At 49.3% G+C, this 22,763-nt stretch overlaps 1 pseudogene, besides 1 other annotated feature; it reads right to left on the bottom strand.

The window, feature by feature from the left end:
• Window positions 15,512-16,012: an enhancer, noted in NCBI's record as "H3K4me1 hESC enhancer chr16:66339117-66339617 (GRCh37/hg19 assembly coordinates)". NCBI's record gives its function as "activates a minimal SCP1, AML or CMV promoter by ChIP-STARR-seq in naive H9 embryonic stem cells {active_cell/tissue: H9 hESC(naive)}" and the evidence as "EXISTENCE:reporter gene assay evidence [ECO:0000049][PMID:30033119]".
• RNA5SP428 (RNA, 5S ribosomal pseudogene 428) lies at window positions 19,286-19,417 on the bottom strand (annotated as a pseudogene).

Here is a 22,763-nt window from a genome sequence, read left to right as displayed (position 1 = left end):
ACCACTGGAGTCCAGCTAGGCATTGATCTGTACAATAAAGTTTCCAGGCTGTGTTCCTGGAAATTGGGGTTGAGGGATTAGATGCAACATCATGTAGTTGTGGGGAGACAGAAGTCCCTGTAAAGGGTGCAAGAAACTCCTTAGGAAGTGTACTGCATTGTAAGAACATGGGCTTCACTGTAGTAAGCCATCCCTTGGTTTATAGCTTAGGTCTGCTGTTAACTGGCTGTGTGACTTCAGACAAATTCCTTAACCTCTCTGAACCTTAGTTTCCTGGTTTGGGAAATTATGTTAATGGTATCTTTAGAGTCTTTGGGAATATTGGGGATAATATCTGTAAAGTACCTGGCACCTCATTGGGAGCTGGATAAATAATGGCTTGTATGATTATCATTATCATCATTAGCAGCCTTGATTTTTCTTTCTTTTTTATTTTTTTTTGTAGTCATTGTTGTTCCCTCCAGCTGTTGGTGCCTGTGCTGGGATCACCCAAGGCTGTGAGTCAGCCTGGAAGAGCTATTTTGTAATTAGGTTGACAGATGCAGGGTGCAGTGGAACCCCTGCCGGAGATCACAAATTAATTAGTGTCATTTTTGGAGAAGGGGCCCCGAAACAGGCTTGGTGGGGACCAGCCAGGCTCATGGGTGTCTGACCGTGGTCCTTGTGGCTCTGCAGAGGGGTGATCCCTGCTAACATCGGCAGAGGTGGGTGCCTCTAGGGTCTGTAAGGAACCCAGAGCCACGGAGGGTGCCCCTGCACATATGGCAGGTGGGGTGGGCTCAGTCACACCCCCTGGGCTCTGTTCCAGGGAGGCTGTGGAGCGACAGCTTTTTCACCTCCACACTGATGTGTGGCCTGTGCCCGTGCCTCAGTTTCCACACACAGCCCTCCATCTACTTTCCAAGTCTGTCTGTCCCCTGGCTTAGTTGGAGTTGGGCTGCCTGCTCTAGCTACCAAGCACTCCCACAGCAAATCACTGGGCAGCAACCGTCCATCTCCTTCTTGCAGCCCCCAGCAGCTCAGAAATCATGACTTGTTCATAAATGACAATGTCAACCCCTATTTATGTCTGGGGCCATGGAGGCACACAGGGCTCCCAGCACCAGTTTTTCCCGAGGATTCTGGCCTCACTTCACCCTCAGGGCAGTGAGCGGGCTGGCGTCACAGCTTCCTGGTTCAGCTCTGCCCTCTGCGCCATGTCCTTGGGGCCATCCTCGCCTATGCTTCACTCCACTTGCTCCATGGCAGGACCATGGGGAAGCTAATTTTACTCGATCAACATTTATTTCATGCTTTGCCAAGTCTCAGGCTGCTGAGCTGCTCTTACCACACATTAACTATCTCACTTAATAGGTGTGGTGCAGCCAGGTAAGAACCATTAGTATTCGCATTTTATAGACAAGGATATAGAGTCTCAGAGATGATCTGGGTCACAAAACTGGTAAGAGGTAGCTAGCATTTGAACCCAGATGGTCTGACTGTATGGTCTTTTAAAAAAATTTTTATTGAGGGATAATTAAAATATAGCAAGATACACAGATCTTAGGTGTTCAGTTCAATGACTGTTGACAAATGCGTCCCCCCGTGTAACCACCCCTCCGAGCAAGATACAGAGAACCTCCATAATTCCTCGTGGCTCTTCTCAGTCACTTCCTACTGCACACTTGGAGTGGAGGCACCTGTTGTTCTGATTTCCACCACCAATATGTAAACCTGTGGTTTTTTTTTTTTTTTTTTTTTTTTTTTGAGACAGGGTCTTGCTCTGTTGCTCAGGCTGGAGTGCAGTGGCATGAACATGGCTCACTGCAGCCTCAACCTCCTGGGCTCAAGTGATCCCTTGTGCTCAGCCTCCTGAGTAGCTGGGACTACAGGTATGTGCCACCATGCCTAACTACTTTTTGTAGAGACAGGGTCTCACCATATTGCCCAGGCTGGTCTCGAACTCCTGAGCTCAAGTGATCCTCCAGCCTCAGCCTCCCAAAGTGCTGAGATTACAGATGTAAATCTCACTGCGCCCAGCCTGTAAGCTCTGTTCTTCAATTTTGTATAAATGGTATTATATATTGGAATTATGTATATAACAATAAATACTGTTTCTTTCACTCTGAACAATGTTTTTGAGGTTCATCCATATTGTCGCATGTATCAGTAGTTCATTACTTTCATTGCTGATTAATTTTTCATTGCATAGATGGACAGCACACTTTGTTTCCCCTTCACTTACTGATGGACTCTTGGGTTGTTTGCCTTGTTGGGCTCTAATGAATAAGCTTCTCCAAACACTCATGTACAAGGCTCTGTGTGGGCAAATGTCTTCATTTCTCTTGGGTTGATAATTGGGGTGGAATTGTTGGGTTGCAGGTGGCTGTATGTTTAACTTTATAATTGCCAAACATTTTCTGAAGTGGTGCACCATTTTACACTCCCACTAGTAATACGGAGAGTTCTAATTGCTCCACATCCTTGCCAAGCTTTGGTGCTAGTCTTTTTTATTTTAGCCACTCTGGGGTATGAGTAGTAGTATCTCATTTTGCTTTTATTGTGCATTTCTGTGATGACTAATGATTTTGAGCTTATTTTTCACATAATTCTAGGTCATTCACATATTTTCTTTTGTGATGTGTCTGTTCCAATCTTTTTCCCACTGAAAATATTGGGTTGGTTGTCTTTTTATTATTGATTTGTAGGGGTTCTTTATATATTCTAGATATGAAAATTTTCTCCCCAGTCTGCGGATTGTTTATGGATTTTTCTTAAAGGTGTCAGTGCTGAGCAGAAGTTGACTGCTGCCCCCTGACTTTTGGTTATCGATGATTCCTGGGTGTATGAAATTGGAGACTGTAACTGGCCTGCACGATGCCAAGAATACAGCTGGACCTCAGAAGGGGCTCATGTTCTTTGTCCTTCCTTCTGCTGCCAAGGTCTCCCCAGATCACTGTCTCTAAGTGGAGTGGATGTCCTCTCCTCTCCATCCGTCCACCCACCCACGTGTCACTCATCCTTGAGCATCCAGCTTATCATGGGCCTCTGGCACCACACTCCTTAGAATGCCCACCTCATGGAAACAATTCAAATGGGCAGCTCTCTGTTGCCACCTCCAGTGCCACTGACTTCATCCAGACCCTCCCCACATCTTCCCTTCTTGGACCACTGCAACGCCCTCTTCCTGCTCACTCAATCAACACAATTCTTTTAGTGTCAATCACTGTCCAGGCCAGATTAGGGTCCCAGAATATAGCACTTGCTCAAGCACTGCCCTGCTCTCCAGGAGCTCACAGACCAGGGGAAACGCATGTACACCAATGTTGAAAATACAGAGGTGAGAGCGAAGTACAGAGATGGATGCACTAGGTGTTGAGGAGAGCGGCCAGGAGAAGAGAACCCTTTTCTGTGCCTGGAGGTTAGTGGGGAGGGGACCCCACGGAAGCCTTCTCAGGGGAAAAACCCCTGAGCCAGAGTTTGCAAGCTGAATAGCTTTTTCCCAGCAGACAGCTTCATGGAAAGGAAGTGCATTGTAAAGAGAGGAAAGCCTGCGTGTAAATGTCTGGAGTGGTGACAGTGGACAATGTCGCAGGGAAGGGCACATTGACTGGCATGACTAGTGGGTGGAAGGGTGCAGGGCGGAGGTGAGCTTGGAGAGGCTGAGAAGGTGAGATCATAAGACACCTGCTACGTGAGGTCAGAAACTTGGGTTTTATCCTGAAAGCAAGAGGAGCTTTTGGAGGACTTGAGGATGGGGAGGGCAAGGTATTAAGTGCTCAGAACCCACCTGTGGCAGTTGTTAAGAGGGTGGATGAGGGTGGGTTTCTTTAGGATGAGGCCTATGGGGTGCTTTTCCAGTAGTAGCTGGTCCAGTCCTTACCCAAGGCAGGCAGAGGGTACGGCAAAGAGGTTCTGTCTGCATCTCCTCCCTCACCCAGGGCAGCTGCTGAGAGATCACCGGCCATGAGTAAGAACACAGTCATAGTCACGATCACAATCACCATCTGCACGGGGCAAACTGGTGAGCTTCATGGAGAGAGACATTGTGCCCTTCGGATGGCAACAAGTGGGACCCATGTCTGATGGGAACAGATGTGGTTGTGCATTGGCTGTGGTGAGCGGCTTTGGGATGAACCAGGGGCAAGGCTGGTGAGGTTGGAGGTAGAAGAGTGGACACTGCCTGTTTGGCACCTGGGAGTCGTGTGTGGTCACATAGACATGGGTTTGCTTCTGCCTCTGCAACTTCGCTCTTTGAATAAATTCCTTAATGTCTCCATGCCACAGTCTCCTCGTCTCTCACATAGGGTTCCTAAAAGCCTCTGTCACTGGAGTTTTGGGGGGCTTAAATGCCACAATGCATGTAAAGAAAGCGCTTGGCATGCAATCATGCCCCATGTATTCAGGATTCTGGGCCGTCTACCGAATCACCTCTAAAGCTTCTTATTGCTACTGCTGGCCTGGCCCTGCCTCTGGAAGCAGCCCAGCTGTTGGGCCCCCAGTTAGTGTAAGGCACAGATGTGGGAGCTGTTTTCCGAAAACCCATCACCAGTGCCTGGGCGCCTCCTCCCTCAATCTGCAGCAGCAGCAGCAGCAGCAGCAGGGTCCTGAGAAGGGCCTTGGCGAGGGTTATTTGTGCCTCTTCAGCAAAGGCCTTCCTGCTGCTGCTCTAGTTCAATGAAGATCACCCTCTGGCAGGTTTTCTGGGCCGTGCACAGGCAGTTAAGGAGCTGAAACTCCAAAGGCAATTTCTCCTCAAGGAGCTGTTTTGTGGGTGGTTCACTCTGCACCACTGCCATGGAGATGTTCCCTGCCCCAAGTCTGGCACAATTCACTGAGCCCAGGGCTCACTGGGCTGCCTGGGAGCTCCTCAACCAGGAAGGAGTGGGCCTGGCTCGGACAGAGAGGATGGGGCAAGGTCCTGACTATATTTCCTGCCCAGCCTGCAGGGAGTTGGGGGAAATTCAAGGGAGGCTCAGGCCCTTGAATAGCAGTACCAAAATTGCCCTCAAAAACAGTTTCTAGGTCGGGCGTGGTGGCTTATGTCTGTAATCCCAGCATTTTGGGAGGCCAAGGTGGGTGGACCACGAGGTCAAGAGATCGAGACCATCCTGGCGAACATAGTGAAACCCCGTCTCTACTAAAAATAGAAAAATTAGCTGGGCATGGTGGAGTGTGCCTGTAATCCCAGCTACTGGGGAGGCTGAGGCAGAAGAATGGCTTGAACCTGGGAGGCAGAGGTTGCAGTGAGCTGAAATTGCGCCACTGCACTCCAGCCTGGAGACACAGTGAGACTGTCTCAAAAAACAAAACAAAACAAAACAAAACAAACACTGTTTCTAAAAACCAGACAACTTTCCCTCTTACCTCCATGGCAAAAGGAGATGGCAAACGCTGCTAAATGCCTTAATAAGTGGCTGCTATTGGTTCAATGATGGCTATTAAAAACTATCAATTGTTTAGATACAGGAATATGGAGAAAAATCTTGTAAGAAGCACTTTTAAAGCCCACTTTGTGTCAATAGTAGTGTTGTTAATTTCCAACTTCCAGATCATATCGAAAGCATTGGTTATGAAAGTTCTTTGGGGGAAAAGGTCATTCATAAACATTCAGATTCTGAGTTAATGAATTTTCCATGGGTGTCTGCACAGACCCTCCCTCTGTCACTGACTGCCGTGGGCTGTCTCAGGCTGGGGACTGGTCCAGGAGCAGTGCCCGGAGGTCCTGGCTGGCTGGACTTGACCTTTCTCCTTCTCTGGCCAGAGGCCTCTCTTCCTGCTTTCAAGAAATGACTCCATACTGGCTGGGTGCTACTGCCTCTGATGGCCACTAGGGGGAACCAAGGTTCTCGGCAAAGGCTTCTCTCCCACAGCGTGAAACCCAAGGGGATTGTTCTGCATCAATGACTTTTCCCTCCCAGATTCTGAAAGAGGTGCTGAAACGGGAACCCAGTGGCTGGCTACTGGCCTGGTAGAGGTGGATAGTATTGAAGAAGCCCAATCTAGTTCTTAAAGCACAGTTATTATTTTTTTCTTTTTTTGAGACGGGGCTCTCACTTTGTCACTCTGGCTGGAGTGCAGTGGTGAAATCATAGCTTGTTGCAGCCTTAAACTCTTGGGCTCAAGCGATACTCCCACCTCAGCCTCCTGAGGAGCTGGGACTATAGGCACGCACCACCATGCCCAGATAATTTTTTAATATTTTTGTGGAGATGAGGGTCTCACCATGTTGCCCAGGCTGGTTTCAAACTCCTTTGTTCAAGCAATCCTCCAGCCTCAGCGTCCCAAAGTGGTGGGATTACAGGGGTGAACCACTTTATCTGGCCACAGTCAGAAGACACACAACCGACTTTAGTGTTATTATTATTTTTCTAAATTTGAGACAGAGTCTCACTCTATTGCCCAGTCTGGAGTGAAGTGGTGCAACCTTGGCTCACTGCAACCTCCGCCTCCTGGGTTCAAGCGATTCTCATGCTTCAGCCTTCCAAGTAGCTGGGATTATAGGCATGCGCCACCACACCCAGCTAGTTGTTGTATTTTTGGTAGAGACACGGTTTCGCCATGTTGGCCAGGCTGGTCTTAAACTCCTGGCCTCATGTGATCCGCCCACCTTGGCTTCCCAAAGTGCTGGGATTACAGTTGTGAGCCACTGTGCCCGGCCCACAACTATCTTTAAAATGACCGTTTCCAGGAAACCTTCTAGAGGGGTTCCCATGCCCACCTGTGACCCCTGCCCCAGGTCCTGGTCATTGTCTCTCCAGCAAGAAGGCAGCCGAGGGCTATATTCTGTGGCATCCTCCTCTTCTTCCTGTTCTTTACCCTGCTCTTAACACTTCTCACACCTTCATTTTATTAAACAACTCTGATCTGCAGGGAGCTGTACACTCAGTGCTGTGGGCATGGCACTGGGGGAACTGGAGGCTGATGGGGGAGAAAGAAGTACAAGAAATGACTCCTGCATTCAAGTGCTTTTCACCCAGTTTGGAGATGTAGGAATTTGATTCAAGTCATTGAACATTTGCTGAGTGCCCATTTGAGAAACAGTGGAATATTGGGAAAGAAAACAGATTTGGCAACTGACTTTCAACCTCAGCTTCATCTGGAGGGCCAGTGTGACGCTGTGTTACTGAAACCTGCTGGCTCTCTATTTCCTCATTTGCAAAATGGGGCCAGGCATCCCTAAGTGATCCACAGCCCTGTATCAACAGTCACCAGGGGATGGAAGAGAGAGGCTTTCTTTTCTTTTCTTTTTTATTCAGAGACAGGATCTTTCTCTGTCACCTAGGCTGGAGTACGGTGGCACAATCACGGCTCACTGCAGCCTGGAACTTCTTGGCTCAAGCGATCCTCCCATCTCAGCCTCCTGAGTAGCTGGGACTCCAGGCGAAAGCCACCATGCCTGGCTTATTTTTTAATTTTTTGTAGAGATGGGGTCTCATCATGTTGCCCAGACTGGTCTTGAACTCCTGGCTTCAAGTGATCCTCCTGCCTTGGGAGAGAGGCTTTCTTAACCTCTAGGTAAGCGTCACCTCCTTTGTGAACCTCTCCAATCCCTTTCCCTGCAAGTTAAGCAACAATTTCCTTGTCTGTCTTCCAGACCTTTGTTGTAGCCCAGTTAGAGCTGTCTGGGGTGCACTGCCATTATTTGTCATTGAACTGAGAACTCCATCAGAGCAGGGATGGTGGAGATGCCTGATTCCTGCCTAACTGGCTCACAGCCTGGCACTTTTTCAGGGAATATCAGCAGATGCTGGGATGAAGGGAGAGGTAGAAACAGCTTCCTTCTTTCCCGTGTGGGCCCCTTTGCAGACGGTGGTGCCATTCAGATGTGTGGGGACTCAGGGTATGATATTCGGGTGTGTGCGTGGACACTGGTTGTGGTCTTGGGCCTTGGGGTCACTTTGAGGGAGAGCCTGACTATCGAGCACTTGGCCATAGGGCCTGGGCAGTAGACACATGGCGTTGAACCCTGGAATTCCAGGACAGGATGGAGAAACATTTTCCACTGGTGGCCAAATGGCACTGTAGGTGGATGAGTCCTGGGGGATGCTATTAGGAGTCTAGGCACGGTGCTTACAGTGCTGGGTCACAGGTGAGAAAGAGATCCCTCTGGCATCTCCATCAATCCTGTCTTTTTTTTTTTTTTTTTGAGATAGAGTTTTGCTCTTGTTGCCTAGTCTGGAGTGCAATGGCGTGATCTCGGTTCACTGCAGCCTCTGCCTCCCAGGTTCAAGCAATTCTCCTGCGTCAGCCTCCAGAGTAGCTGGGATTACAGGCGCTCACCACCACACCCGGCTAATTTTTTTTTTGTATTTTTAGTAGAGACGGGGTTTCCCCATGTTGGTCAGCCTGGTCCCAAACTCCTGGCTTCAGGTGATCCGCTTGCCTCAGCCTCCCACGGTTTTGGGATGACAGGTGTGAGCCACCGTGCCCAGCCAATCTGTGAAGGAGGGGTTCGGTGCCAGGGAACCCTCTGGCTCTTACTCCCTTTTGAATGCAGAGCAGAGTGAGCAGGACCAGGGCGCGCCTTTGGCAGGCGACAGTGTTCACTGGCAACTTGTGCTCCCTGTTTTCTTTCCGGCTTACTTTTGACAATAGATACTATTTTTACACATTCCATAGTGATACACTTGTCTCATTTAAATAAATGTATTTAAGTTAAAAAATAAAGGGAGTTTGGGCCAGGCGTGGGGGCTCACACCTGTAATCCCAGCACTTTGGGAGGCTGAGGCGGGCGGATCATGAGGTCAGGAGATTGAGACCATCCTGGCTAACACGGTGAAACCCCGTCTCTATTAAAAATACAAAAAAAAAAAAAAAATTAGCCGGGTGTGGTGATGGGCGCCTGTAGTCCCAGCTACTCAGGAGGCTGAGGCAGGAGAATGGCGTGAACCTGGGAGGCGGAGCTTGCGGTGAGTGGAGATTGCGCGACTGCACTCCAGCCTGGGTGACAGAGCGAGACTCCATCTCAAAAAAAAAAAAAAAAAAAAAAAAAAGGGAGTTTGTTTAAAGAAAAACATTAAGTAAACAACACCACAGGTCTACCATAAATACAGCAAAAATCCTGATGCTTGTACAAGGCGGGTTGAGAGCACAGGCTTGGGAGGTCCTGCTCTGACTCTTCCAGCGATATGACCTAGGGCTTCTCTGCACCTCAGTTTCCCCATCTGTAAACAGGGCTAATAATACCTTCTCAGGAGGGTTGTCATGTGGAGCAGAGGAGGTAATGAATGCAAAGTGTTTAGCACAGGGGCAGGCACACAATAGGTGCTTGAGGATTGTGCATTGTCAAAAGTGTTATTTTGCAGCAGGGATGGATGGGGCCTGTAGAATGCGAGATGCTGTCTTTACTCCACCCTGCAGAGACAGGGAGCATGGCTCCTGGGGATGGAGGGTGGGAGGAAGCAGGACCCCTGAGGAATGGTCAGGCTGGACCTGGGAACCCCGGGTACTTCCTGTAGGCCAAGGAAGGAGAGTCCATCCCACTCGCTAGGCCTGGGCAGGAAACCAGGGGCTCTGTGCAGGGTTTCTCCTTTGGGTTGCAGAGCTTTCCCACTGTGCTCTGCCACTCCAATTCCCCTTCTTTCAAGATTTAATTCAGTGTTTCAAATGTTCCTAATAAGGTCCTGGCAATGTTAGCTTTGGAGGTTCCTAGCCTGGAAGGCCACATTTTCTACTGAAGTTTGATATTAACACACCAGTGAGAACAGCTTCAGCTGATGAGAATTACAACTATTCTCCAACTCTCAGACAAGATGAGTGTGCTTGAAAAATATTAAAGAGCTTTTCCCTCCCTCCTTCCCTTCCTCCCTCCCTCCCTCCCTCCCTCCCTTCCTTCCTTCCTTCCTTTTTTCTTTCCTTCATTCCTTCCTTCCTGAATTTATTGAAGGTATACTGGGTACTAGTATTGTGGTCTTTGCTAAAACCAGGAGTTCCTTCTTCTCTGGCATAGGCCGAATTTCAGTTCTTTAAACACAAGTGAAAGGCAGAAATTGCAGGACCCCTGTCACTTGGATCAGTCAAAGAATTCTTCTCTTGTTCACTTGTTTCAAGTATTTACATATGATTCAGGTCACACACTCACACACGTCGCTTTGAGGCATCTGTCTGTGCAGATTAATCTTGTTGGCCTGTTTGCTTAGTTTTTCCATATTCAGGAGGGAGAAACCAAACACCCAGGGCACAGGTTTGGGCACATTTGCTGGGCCCTGTGACCCTGACAGGAGTTAGTGTACCCCTGCAGAGCCAGTCTTTTCCCCTTCCCATGGGCAGCCACCGACAGCCCATCCACCGCAGCCAGCAGATTCCTTACAGTTCTCCCCACTCCCCAGCGATTCTCCTCTCCAAGCCTCTGTGCAGGCTGCTCCCCTTTCCTGGAGTGCCATCTTTTGTCCTGTTCATTCTCTGAGACACTCCATGTCCTTCCTCCCCTATGAAGACTTCCTGAGACCTTCCAACCCTTCCCTGCCCTGAGATCCTACAGAATCCACAGTCCAGACCACACCACGCACCCAGTGGCCCTGTATCATCTGAGTTCCCACACAGTCTCGTTCCTGCCTCCCCAGTGTCGGGGCAGGCTCCTGGGGACCAGGCCTTAGGCTTAGAGCTGATATTTGTGGAGCTCCTCTTATGCATGAAGCTCAGCGCTTCCCATCCTTGAGCTCAAAACTACCCTGTGGAGGCAGATGCTGCATTGACCTCATTTCAGGCACAAGAAATAATGAGGCATCCTTATGGTCACGCAGTAGGAAGAAATAGAATAAAGATTTGAATACAGGTGGTCTGGCTCCAGAGCCCTGAAACACTCCTCTCTGTTTCCCCTGGCCCTTCCCTACAGCACAGGGCTAGGTTCATTGGGGAGCTGAAGAAGGAGGTGGTCCCCGGGAACCTAGGCCTGCCTGGGTGATGGATGGAGTGCAGAAAGGTGCCTGGTGGGCATTAAGCAAGATTAGCCATGCCTAGACTGGAGCTGCCGCTGCTGCATGATATTGGTGGGGTCTCTGTGCAAAGCCCCCTCTGATTTCCTGAACACTCACTTCTGTCCCTGGAATGCTGTCGCTCCAGTGCTTTTAATTCAAAGCATTTACTTATTTTGCATTGCTTTGCTCCCTAAAGGATTTGAGGCAACCTACAAGAAAACATTCAATAAACTCATAATAAAATATAAATAAGAACAACAAGGGAAGGTGCTGTTCACATCACGACACTCGTTTCTTGCATCTGATGGCCCTTCGTGGACCAGGCTATCCTCCCTTCTCCGATCCTCACATTCAGAAAGGTCTTGCCTGTCACACGTTTTAAGTAAAAACACACAGTGCTTTGCGACTTCTGGGGTTTAAATGTGAAGATGCAAGGCTTCTCTCAGGCTTCCATGTGCATATATGATCAGATTTGCTTCCCAATCAAAGTCGCTAATTTGAAAGGTACAGGTCACTGTCAGCTTGCTCTGGTCCTCTCATCTCCCCTTCTTGATCAGCCTTCTTATGCTGCCCTCTTGTCATAACCCGGTGCTTTCTAGCCATGATGAAAATGTTATAAAAGGGGCAATGTCTCAGCTCGCCCGGATGGAGCAGTGGCAGATGCTGTGAGAGTCAAGGGTGCCCGACTTCCTGGACTGCCGGGTCACAGGGGCGCCGGTCCACCCCAGGTTCCTGCAGATACTGCAGAACTGTCTGCTGCTTCAGTGCGCTTTCCTCGCCTCCAGGGAAGTATTATTATGGTGTTGAATCCGTGAGCCCAAGGTCCGGTGGAGCCAGAGAATGTGTTTGTGAGGAGGTTGAGTTGTGTTTGCTGGGAAGCCATGGGGCTTGGAGCCACGAGGGAAGCTGGCACGTGTGAGGTTGAAGGACAGCATGGTAGTGGCCCTGGGGATGCTTTTCCTCATTCTGCCTGGATCAGTTCATTAAATGACCAGCAGCCCTCTTTCAGGAGGCCATGTGACTAGTATATATGACTATGTCTATGTTGGAGCTCAAGATCACGCACCAGCAGGCTCCGGTTCTCAGACATAAGGAAACCATTTTGATAGCCATGTTCCCTGTCATTCCATGCAGAAGGTGGAAAACTGGGTTGGAAAATTCTAAGGGAGGAGTCTTGGAAAAGGTCGAGATCGAATCCCAGCTTTGCTCTTGGCTGGCTCTGTGGCCTTGGACAGGTAGCTGCCCCCTGAGCACCCAGAGCAGGACTCATGATACTTGCCAGGCAGAGATATTTGAGGATGACCAGAGAGGAGGTTTGCAAAAGGCCTGGTGCCAGTAGGAGCCTTGCAATTGTTGGTTCCATTTCTTCTTGCTTGGAAGATGGGGGTCTTCTTTTTGTCTGTTTGTACTGCTGTAACAAAATACCTTCAGCAGTAATTTATAAGCAGCAGAAATTTATTTTCTCACAGTTCTGGAGGCTGGGGGGCTGAAGTCAAGGCGTCTGGACATTAGGTGTTTGGTGAGGCCTCGGTCTCTGCTTCCTTCCAACATGGTGTCCCGTTGCTGCATCCTCCAGAGGGGATGAATGCTATGCCCTCCTATACAGTGGAAGGGTCAAAGAGTTGGAAAGGGAGGAAGCGCTCCGAAGCTTCTTTTATAAGGCCACTGATGCCATTCATGAGAACTCTGTCCTCATGGCTTAATTCCCTTCTACAGACTCCACCTCTTAATGTTACCATATTGGTGAGTAATTTTCAACACGTGCACTATGGGGGTCATTCAGACAACAGCGGATCTGGGTAAGATGATCTTTGAGGAATCCTCCTTTTTCAGGGCTGTAGGGCATGGATGGTGCTAAGCTTGGTATGCTTTGAGGAGTCTGAATTGAAGAGGTTCCTGCCCTTCAGGAGCCCAGCTTTTAGCGGGTGTGGACAGACATATAAGTAGGTGATCACGACAATGGAGCTGTGACTAGGGAAGTGCTGGGCCCGGGGGAGTCTGAGAGGATGCACTGGAACAGCCTGGGGATGGAGGGTGGCAGAGGTGGTTGAAGAGAGGTGGGAGTCAGCCAGGTGAAGCGGACAGGGGAGTGGGCATCCCAGTGACCTGAAATGGCCTGAGCAAAAGCTGGGAGGAGTGAGACTGCTTGGTATGGTGCGGAATGCAAGGATTTCTGTGGTTCTAGAGCAGGACATGTTCTGAATCAGACATTTGCAGATAAGGGCAAAGTCATGTAGGGGCCTTGGACCAAATCAAGGGGCTTGGGCCTTGACTCTCCTCAAGCTCTTTTCTGTCCCAACCAGTCCAGCCCTTCTCCAATCTTAGGTCAGGACTACGGGTTAGGAGACCCAGAGGATTTAAAATGTGAGTCTTTAATGGCTGGTGGGGCTGCTCAGTGTCCTAATCCACAGATGGGCTCCTATCATGCCCCACACCCAAGACCCTTCCATGGCTCCACACTGCCATCCTGATCTAGTTCAGGATGGTCTTCAAAGCCTTGTGTGATCTGATCATACTCCACCCCTAGGCCTCACCTGTCTTCACTCCCCTTCCAAACTTCTCTCCCCTCTCACCTCACTCATGTTCTCCTCTCCCCACTCCCCTTTGCTTGATTCACTTCTGCTCATCCTTTGGGGCTCTGTTCAGGCTTTGCTTCCTCCAGGAAGTCCTCCCTGACTCCCTCTGAATCCTGTGGTCCCTGTGCCTCCCCATCTTAGCACATTTCACACTGGACAAACTGGCTCCCTGGCTAGGCTGTCAGCAACTCAGGGGCAGGGGCAGGGGCAGAGGCAGAGGCAGGTCTTTCGTTTTTCCACTGTACACTGGACCCTGGCAGTGTCTGCACTTAGTAGGTGCTCACTCATCGCTTCTGCATGAATAAATGATTGAGTGAATCAGTGAAGGCCTTTTATTTCCTCCTGACAATCTGTTCACTTCCCAGACCCCTGCTGGGGGGCCTGCACACACCCATTGCTACTTTAGAGACCCTGGAACTAAGATTTTACTGCTTAGCTTCATCACGTATTTTTACTCTATGTGTCCCTGTTTCTGGCCTTTCTATTCCGCCACCCGGTGCACAAAGGTACTCCACTTTTCTATATTTCTGAGCCCACCCACTCTGTTTCTGATGCTCAAGACCCTTGGATTCATCAAAAGGAGGACTTTTAATCTTCCTGGGCATAGCCATTTCAGAAACGTATTTCAAAGCTGCTTGAAAGCAAGAGGCTGCGGCTTTGATGTCTCTGTTAGCTTCTCTGCAGGGGTACAGGCTGGCTCACTGAGACCACCAGGAGCCTGAGGATGGGGAGAGAATGCCCTGTGGGTTTCTGAAAAGGCATGGAGGGCAGTGGGTCCATCGGCTGGAACTGGAACTGACAAGGTGATGTCCCCGCACCCAGGCTCCCTCCCCTGCCTGCCTTGGCCAGCAGGGTCTCCACTCAGGAGTGAATATTGTGGTTTCTGCATAGACCCCATCTTCGAGGCCTTAGCACCCATTCCCCAGGTGCTGGGAATACCTTCATCCTTCACTGGAAATTGCCCTTGGCGGAAGGAAACGGCTTCATCCAAGGTGAAGTCCTTTCCCATAGCTGATGACTGGCTGATGGAGTGGGGCAGTTATAAAGACTTGGGCCCCCTGGCCTCAATTTCAGACAACTCTGAGGGATCAGCTTGGATACAGAGCTCTCCTGGGATCAGCTGAAGCCTTCAGAACCAGCACATTGTGGTCACCTTTGCCCAGCCCCACTGGCCTCCCTCCTTTTCAGGGTACATCTCCCGGGACCATGCAGTGGCAATGAACATTCTACACGAGGCTCTCCATCCCTGTCCTAGTTCCTGCAGGGCCTGGGGTGCATTTCCATTGCAGCCTGGGGCACAGGCTGATCCTTCTTCAAGACCACCACTAGTAGGAGTCCCCAGAGTCCTGGGATTTTGCCTGAGAAAGGAACACACACAAGAAACAGTAGCCAAAGGGAAGTCAGACAGGCTTGGGCAGGCCTGGGACGGGCATTGGGTATAGGCTGGATTTGGGAGGCAGCATGGCTGCCAGGCCTAAAGGAAGCTTTCTATATCCCATTGATGAATCCAGGATGGCCACATCTGTAGAAAGGGCCCCAAGAGTCACATGAATGAGTGTGGCCAACCTGCCTCTTCTCATTCACGCCTGGACATAGGGAGCACAGGAGAGTGAGCCTTGTATGACACAAAGTGTATTGGTCCATTCTCGCATGGCTATAAAGAACTACCTGAGACTGGGTAATTTATAAGGAAAGAGGTTTAATTGGCTCACAGTTCTGCAGGCTATACAGGAAGCATGACTGGGGAGGCCTCAGGAAACTTATAGTCATGGCAGAAGAGTGAAGGGGAAGCAAGCACTTTCTTCACATGGTGGAGCAGGAGAGAGAGGGAGAGAAGGGGGAATGTTACACACTTGTAAACAACCAGATCCCATGAGAACTCAGTAACTCACTCACTGTCACAAGAACAGCAAGGGGAAAATCCACCCCTGTGATCCCATCACCTCCCATCAGGTCTGTACCCCAACCTTGGGAATTACAATTTTTCTTTTTTTTTTTGAGATGGAGCCTCGCTCTGTCACTTAGGCTGGAGTGCAGTGGCGCAATCTCACTGCAACCTCCGCCTCCTGAGTTCAAGCGATTCTCGTGCCTTAGCCTTCAGAGCAGCTGAGATTACAGGTGTGTGCAATCATACCTGGCTAATTTTTGTATTTTTAGTAGAGACGGGGTTTCACCATGTTGGCCAGGCTGGGCTTGAACTCCTGACCTCAAGTGATCCACCCGCCTCAGCCTCCCAAAGTGCAGGGATTACAGGCGTGAGCCACCATGCCTGGCTGGGAACTACAATTTGACTTGAGATTTGGGTGGGAACACAGAGCCAAGCCATATCACAGAGTGACCCTGCTGCTGGCAACATCTCAGGGTTGATCGCTCACATGGCCATGCCCTCCTTCCCTGGTGGAGCAACTGTGAGGGCATGGAGGTGGGTGGAGGGCAGAAACATGGGGAGTGGGGCTCCTCCCAACACATGCCCTTGACTCTGCAGATGAAGATGAGCCTCCTCTCTCTACTGCCATACCTGGCTGACCAGCAGTGGGGGCAGAGGAAGGGCCACCTGTTACCCAACTTGGAGACCCTCCACTGGGGCCATCCTTTCCCCACCCAGCCAGGGCAGAGCCCTGGCAATTTGTGGCACCTGGTAGAAGGGAGGGTGATGGACATGTGCCAGCTCTGCCTGCTCGTTAGCATCGCACTGGGCTTTGCACATGAAGTCCCTGCACCCTCTCCACAGTGCTCTGGGAGGTGCTGATCATGCCCGATTTACAGATGAAGAAATGAGGGACAGAAGGTTTGAATAACATGCCCAGTGTCCTAGGGGGTGCAGGGCAGAGCCAGGGTTAAAATCCAGACCCCTGACTTGCAGTCCTGCTCTTCCCTTCACACATCTCAGCAGATTTGAAATTCAACAGTTGCCAAATGGGGAGTCAGGACCCAAACCTCAGGAGAGGGTCTCTCAGCCTCCATTTGCATGAAAATGAGCATCGCAGAGATTTACCGAGGGTCTGAAATGTGCTCCATGCTGCGTTTGGTGCATCACTCCTGTCTCATCTTCACTGTGATCTGCTGTGCGGTGTGTGTTATGACCGCCTTCATTTTAGGAATGAGCAAATTCTCCCTCCTGCAGTTCTCTACCATCCTGGCCTGGGGTCCCCATGGAGCTTGGAGCCCCACACTCCCAGTTCCCATAGCCATATGGGACCGCATAGCCAGTGAAGAGAGGCAGAGCCACACGCCGGGATTTCTGGCGAGATCCAGGGAGATGAAGTTGGAGCTTTCTGGAGAGGGCAATTCATTCATTATTGATCAGCATTTCCATGTAGTCAGCTCCTGCTCGGGGCTGGGCTGTTTCCCATCCTTTTCCCCTGATGGGAATCTGGGAGTGGTGCCAGAGGCTGAGCAGAAGTGGGAAGCGGGGGACTTGGAGCCACCACTGGCTGTGTGGATTCGTTTCTGGAGCCAGTAACTGGGGACTCCTGATCTCGGCCCAGTGCCCCTGTGAGTTGCTCCCAGGGAGAGTCAGCAGCACTTTCAGTTTCTTTGCAGCATAGCTTGGTGTGGCATCCTCTGGAGACCTCTGAACTGCATTATGTGTCTGACCTGAGGGCTAGCAAACAGCAAGACACCCCAAAATGAGCATCCTCGTCACGGTAGAGTGGAAAGGGGACAGCCTCCATGATCAGGTGGTCGTGGCTCCAAGCCTGGCTCTGTCCCTTGCAAGCTGTGTGACTTTGGGAAGTCATGGCATCTCTCTGGGCCTTACTTTCATCATCTGGTAAAACTGGAGGTACTCCTGCTTGGGCACAGAAGTCACTGTGAGGCTTATGTGAAACAGTGCACAGAGGAGGACTTAGCATGGTGCCTGAGACAGAGCAGATTTTCAGCAATGGATTTCCTGCCTTCAGGCAAGTGCCACACCCACAGACCCTGCTGTATAGTGAGCTCTTGCTAACCTCCGATGGCAACTGCATCCCTGAGCCTGATGGCTTTTCTGGAACCACGGAAGGCCCCCTCATCACCTTTCCCAGCCTTACAGGGGAGCATCCCCAACCAGAGACTGTGGTGTATAAATTCCTTCGTTCCGTCTCTTCAATAATGCGGTCATTCTGAGGTAGGTTTTGCACCATTTCCAGAGTTTCCTGAAATAATCTGTATTCATTTTCTATTGCTGCTGTAACATATTATGACAAACGTGGTGACTTAAAACAATACACATTTACTACCTTGCAGTTGTTGATGTCAGAAGTCTAAAACAGACTTCTTTTTTTTTTTTTGAGACAAGAGTCTTGATCTGTCACCCAGGCTGGAGTGCCGTGGTACGATCTCAGCTCACTGCAACCTCCGCTTCCCGGTTCAAGCGATTCTTCTGCCTCAGCCTCCCAAGAAGCTGGGATTACAGGCACACACCACCACATCCGGCTAACTTTTGTATTTTTAGTAGAGACAGTGTTTCACCATGTTGGCCAGGCTGGTCTCCAACTCCTGGCCTCAAGTGAGCCTCCCTCATCGGCCTCCCAGTATGCTGGGATTACTGGTGTGAGCCACCATGCCCGGCCCTGAAATAGGTCTTTGGGAGGCTCCAGGGCAGAATCCATTTCCTTGCCTTCTTTAGCTTCTGAGGCTGCCTTCATTCCTTGGCTTGTGGCCTCTACTTCCATCTTCAAAGCCAGCAATGGCCATTGAGTCTTTCTCACATCACAGCACTCAAACTCTTCTTCTTCCACATGGAAGGAGCCTTGTGATTAGCTTGGTCCTATCTGGATGATGCAGGATAATTTCCCCATCTGGAGATCAGCTGATTAGCAACCTTCATTTCATCTTCAGTCTTAATTCCCCTTTGCTGTGTAATGTAATATATTCATAGGTCCTGGGGATTCACAGCTATCTCTGGGGGCCTTGCTCTGCCTACTGCATCATCCAGGTGGTTTAACAGCTCACCTTTGTGGCTGCCTCCCCTTTCACCGTGTCCCTTCCCCAGTTCCCTGCTGGTAGTTCCTGAATCTCCTAAGTGAACTCCTTGTACTTTAGTCATTGTCTCAGGGTCTTCTTCTGGGGGGAATCGAAACCAATGTGTTCAGCAATCCTTTAAAATTAAAGACACAGGGCAAAGGTAAAGTCAACCTGGGCTGCAGAGACTCAAGACTGAAAGTGATGAGTTTTGGTGATATGGTACAGAGGAAGATGAGTTTGGTGATGCAGTGAGGGGCAGATGTGGTGGCCATGCCTGCAATCTTAGTGCTTAGAGAGGCTGAGGCTGGAGAATCACTCAAGGCCAGAAGTTGGAGGCCAGCCTGGGCAACATAGCAAGACCCCTATCTCTACAAAAAGTAAAAAATTAGCTGGAGTGGTGGTGAGCATTTGTAGTCCCAGCTACTTGAGAGGCTCACTTGAGCTCAGGAGTCTGAGGTTACAGTGAGCTATGATCATACCACTGCACTCCAGCCTGGGTGACAGAGCGAGACCTTGGACATGGCCTCTGCTGGTGTCCTGTGGGCTGTGAGCAGTCTCTCCATCTTGCAGATGGATGCAACAAGGTGGAGGCAACAGCTAATCTCCACTCCTATGCCTCTCTCTACCCCCAGGACTCTCTGCCTCTGCCAGGTAACAGGTGTCACAGCACAAATGAATGACTCATTCTCCTCACTTAGCAAATTTCAATTTTAAGTAATTGCTTGAATCAAAGTTATTTATTGGATCTTTCAGAATTAAAGCTGGTTTTGATTAGTTTCCATCACTAGTAAAATGGAAAATATGCTTCCCATTGGGTGGGGATTTTCCTCAATCATGGCCTGCTTGACAACGAACACTGAACTTGGAGCACACCATTCTGAACCTTCCCATCAGGACCTCTCCTTTTCTCCCATCCAAGTACTAACCAGGCCCGACCCTGCTTAGCTTCTGAGATCAGACGAGATCGGGCACATTCAGGGTGGTATGGCTGTAGACAGGACCTCTCCTTTTCTGTCTTCAAAAGACTTTTCCATGATCACAGCCCTTGCTATGGCCAGGCACCCAGTGGACACTCAATAGCTGATTAGAAAATTCCTTCTGACCATTTAAAAATAAAATCTAGAGTATGCATAAGAGCAACAAGTCAAAAATAGCAACTCTCATATATCCACTGAAAAATATGTTAAAATTTATCATATTTGCCCTGAACTGCTCAGATATTATGTGACTACAGTGCTCCATTGCCCAAGACAAAATTCAGAATACAGTAGATAAATTTCAGGTCTCCATCTCTCTCTAAATCCTAATCCTCTTCCTTTCTTCCCAGTGGTATCCTCTATAATGAGTTGGGTGTATTCTGTTCTTCAAAAAATAAAAGCCTTTCACATATCCATAGGAAATAATAGTATCCCTATGTGTATTTTAACTTTCATAAATGGTATTATGCTATTTATATCATTCTGCAACTTGCTTTATTTCACTGAACAATGTGATTTTTAGGCCTGTGTCCAAACTGGCCATTTTGGTTCATTTCTTTTAACTGCTTTGTTTCATATTAAAAAAAAAAATCTGTCCTATTCATGGACATGTAGTTTACTTCCAATTTCTTTCTGCTGCAGAAAACAATGTTGCAATGTCATCCTTATACATAGGTCCTTATGCACACATGTGCAGGGGTCTGTAGGAAAGACCCCTTCCAGGGAAAGCACAAGACCATGGCCAGGCGATAGCATTTTCAGCTTCAGTGGAAGCCACTATTCAACATGACTGTGCCAATTACACCCTCAACAGCAGTCTGTGAGAATCATGTTTTCCCTACATTGTCACCAGCACTTGATAGCATCTGACTTTTTCACTTTTGCCAGCCTGAGGACATGCCACGGCCAGTTTTTAAACCAGGTAAGTCGCTGAAAGGCTCACCACTTTTTTCCTCTTAATCCAGAAGACAGAAAACAAAGCACCTATTTTACACATTGGGTTCTGTCACCTAAGTCTCCCCTCATCTGCTTATGGGTAGGGGACTGGCTGGCTGGGTGGGCACCAGGCAAGGGATAGGTGTCAGTGTGAGATGTGGTGGGTTGGGACACAGGAGATGGTGAGGGTAGGTGAGGAGAAGGGAAGTGGGGAGGCCAGGATGAAGGCCTGGGGACAGGGCTGGGCTTGTATTTGATGCCACAGCACCACAAATCCTGAGCTGGGAAGGTAGTGCAGTGATACTGGAGGGGCTTGGTTGGAATGGCCACTGTTTCTGAAGTGGGACAGATGCCTGGGCTGGCTTGGCTCTGCAGGCCAGGAGCAAGGTAGATAATGAGTAAAGGTGGGTGAAGAGGAGGCGAGCCTTCAGATGTACCCTGTTGGTTGTGGCTGGAGCAAAGGCAATGGGGATGGTTTGTGTGGGGCTTCAGAAAAACTAGACATGTGTATTTGATGGTGGATAGGTGTGGCTCATCAATATGAAGGGGGAACCCTTAAACGAAGACTCCCTGATGGGACTGATACCCTCCATCCTCCACCCTTGTTGGGGACTCCTGGGCCTGGAGCAGCCATGGAGGGGCCAGACACCAGGCCACAGTGTCTAGTGCTGGAGGCCATGGTAAAATCAAAGGCTCCAGATACCTCTCAAGAAGAGGCATGGGTGGCCCCTGGTGACTGTTTCAGGGGTGCTATGGTTTGAATGTTTGCCCTCTTCAAAACTCATGTTGAAACTTAATCCCCAATGTGGCAGCATTGAGAGATGGGGTCTTTAAGAGGTGATCGGGTCTCGAAGCATCTGCCCTCAGGAATAGATTAATGCCACTTGCGGATTAATGTGTTATCATGGGAGTGGGACTGGTGGCTTTATAAGAAGAGAGACCTGAGCTGACATGTCCAGCCCCCTTGCAATGTGATATCCTGTACTGCTTCAGGACTCTGCCGAGGGTCCCCACCAGCAAGAAGGCTCTCAACAGATTTACCCCTTCAACCTTGGACTTTCCAGCCTCCAGACTGTAAGAAACAAATTCCTTTTTTTAATAAATGACCAAGTCTCAGGTATTCAGTAGTAGCAACAGAGGATGGACTAAGACAAGGGGAAACTTTCAGGTAGAAGAGCTTCCTATTTGAGAGGTGAGTTTTGGGATCTTCCATTTGATCCTGTTTCTGCAGTGAGTTGGAGGACAGGATTGGATGAGAGCAGGCTGGGGTGGTGAAGGGCAGTGCTGCATATCAACCAGCCACATCACTCCTGTAACAGGAAGTCTCACGCTATACCCACTTCCTCTCCCTTCCTCCCTGGTGGCTCTGGTCTAGCCCCTGGTTTAATCCTAGGATTGGGGCTAGGGGAGGTTGGCTGCATGCACAATGGTGGTGACATGTTTCCTTTGCTCAAGAGCTGAGCAAGCTCTTAAAGAAGGAGCATGGGTTCAGCAGGCAGAAAACAGGGAAGAAGGAGTTCTGGGCAGAGGGAACAGTATGTGCAATACATGGAGGTGTGAGAGAGTTTGGCATATTGAGAGAATAGTGCATAGTTTGCATGCCAGAAATGTACATGGTGGCAGAGGATTGTGGGTTGGGGGAAGCAATGATCAATGGGGCTAGATGAGTAGTCAGAGGACAACTTAGGCATGACCTTATCAGCCATATGGAGTTTGATTTTTATTCTGAAAACAATAGGAAGCCTCTAAAAGTCGTTAAGCAGGGGAAGATGCAATTCGATTAGCAGTTTCAACAGAGATTGGAAAAGGAGAGAATTGTTTACTGATGATGATAATTACTTGGCTAATATTACTTGAGCACTTAAATTTTGCCCAAGTGATTTACATACATTATCTTAATGTTACAACCTGTCTTATAAGAAAGATGTACCAGTCAGCTATTTGCACAATAATGCTGTATAACAAACAACTACATAATTCCTACAACAGTCAGCATTAATTTCTAGCTCACACACCTGTAGACTGCCTGGGGCAGCTCTGCTTCTGGGTATAGGTCAGTAGGTCTGCTGAGGTCTCTGTTCAACACATCTCATCCTGGGGCCCTGCTAGGCGGGGCAGTGGCTTTCCAGGGTATGTCCTCTTTGTGGCAATCATAAAAGCCTGAGAAGGCAAGCCCACACCCATAAGCACATTTCAAGCTTCTGCTGGTATCATTTCCACTAATATTCCCTTGGCCAAAGCAAGTCACATGACCCACTGTGAGGCCATGGCAATGATGGGAGAGGCCCACTAAGAGTTGGAGCCAGTAGTTCAATCATCCACAAAGGTGTTTATTATTATCTCCATTTACAGAGGAGAGCAAAAGAGAGAATGATTTGCTTGAGGTTGTGCAATGAGCTAGGATTTGCTCCTGGGTGTCTCTGCTTCTT

This window comes from Homo sapiens, chromosome 16 (assembly GCF_000001405.40).
Source record: "Homo sapiens chromosome 16, GRCh38.p14 Primary Assembly".
Lineage (NCBI taxonomy): Eukaryota > Metazoa > Chordata > Mammalia > Primates > Hominidae > Homo > Homo sapiens.
Note: the sequence above shows the minus strand (reverse complement) of the source record. Positions and strands in the feature narration are given on the sequence as shown.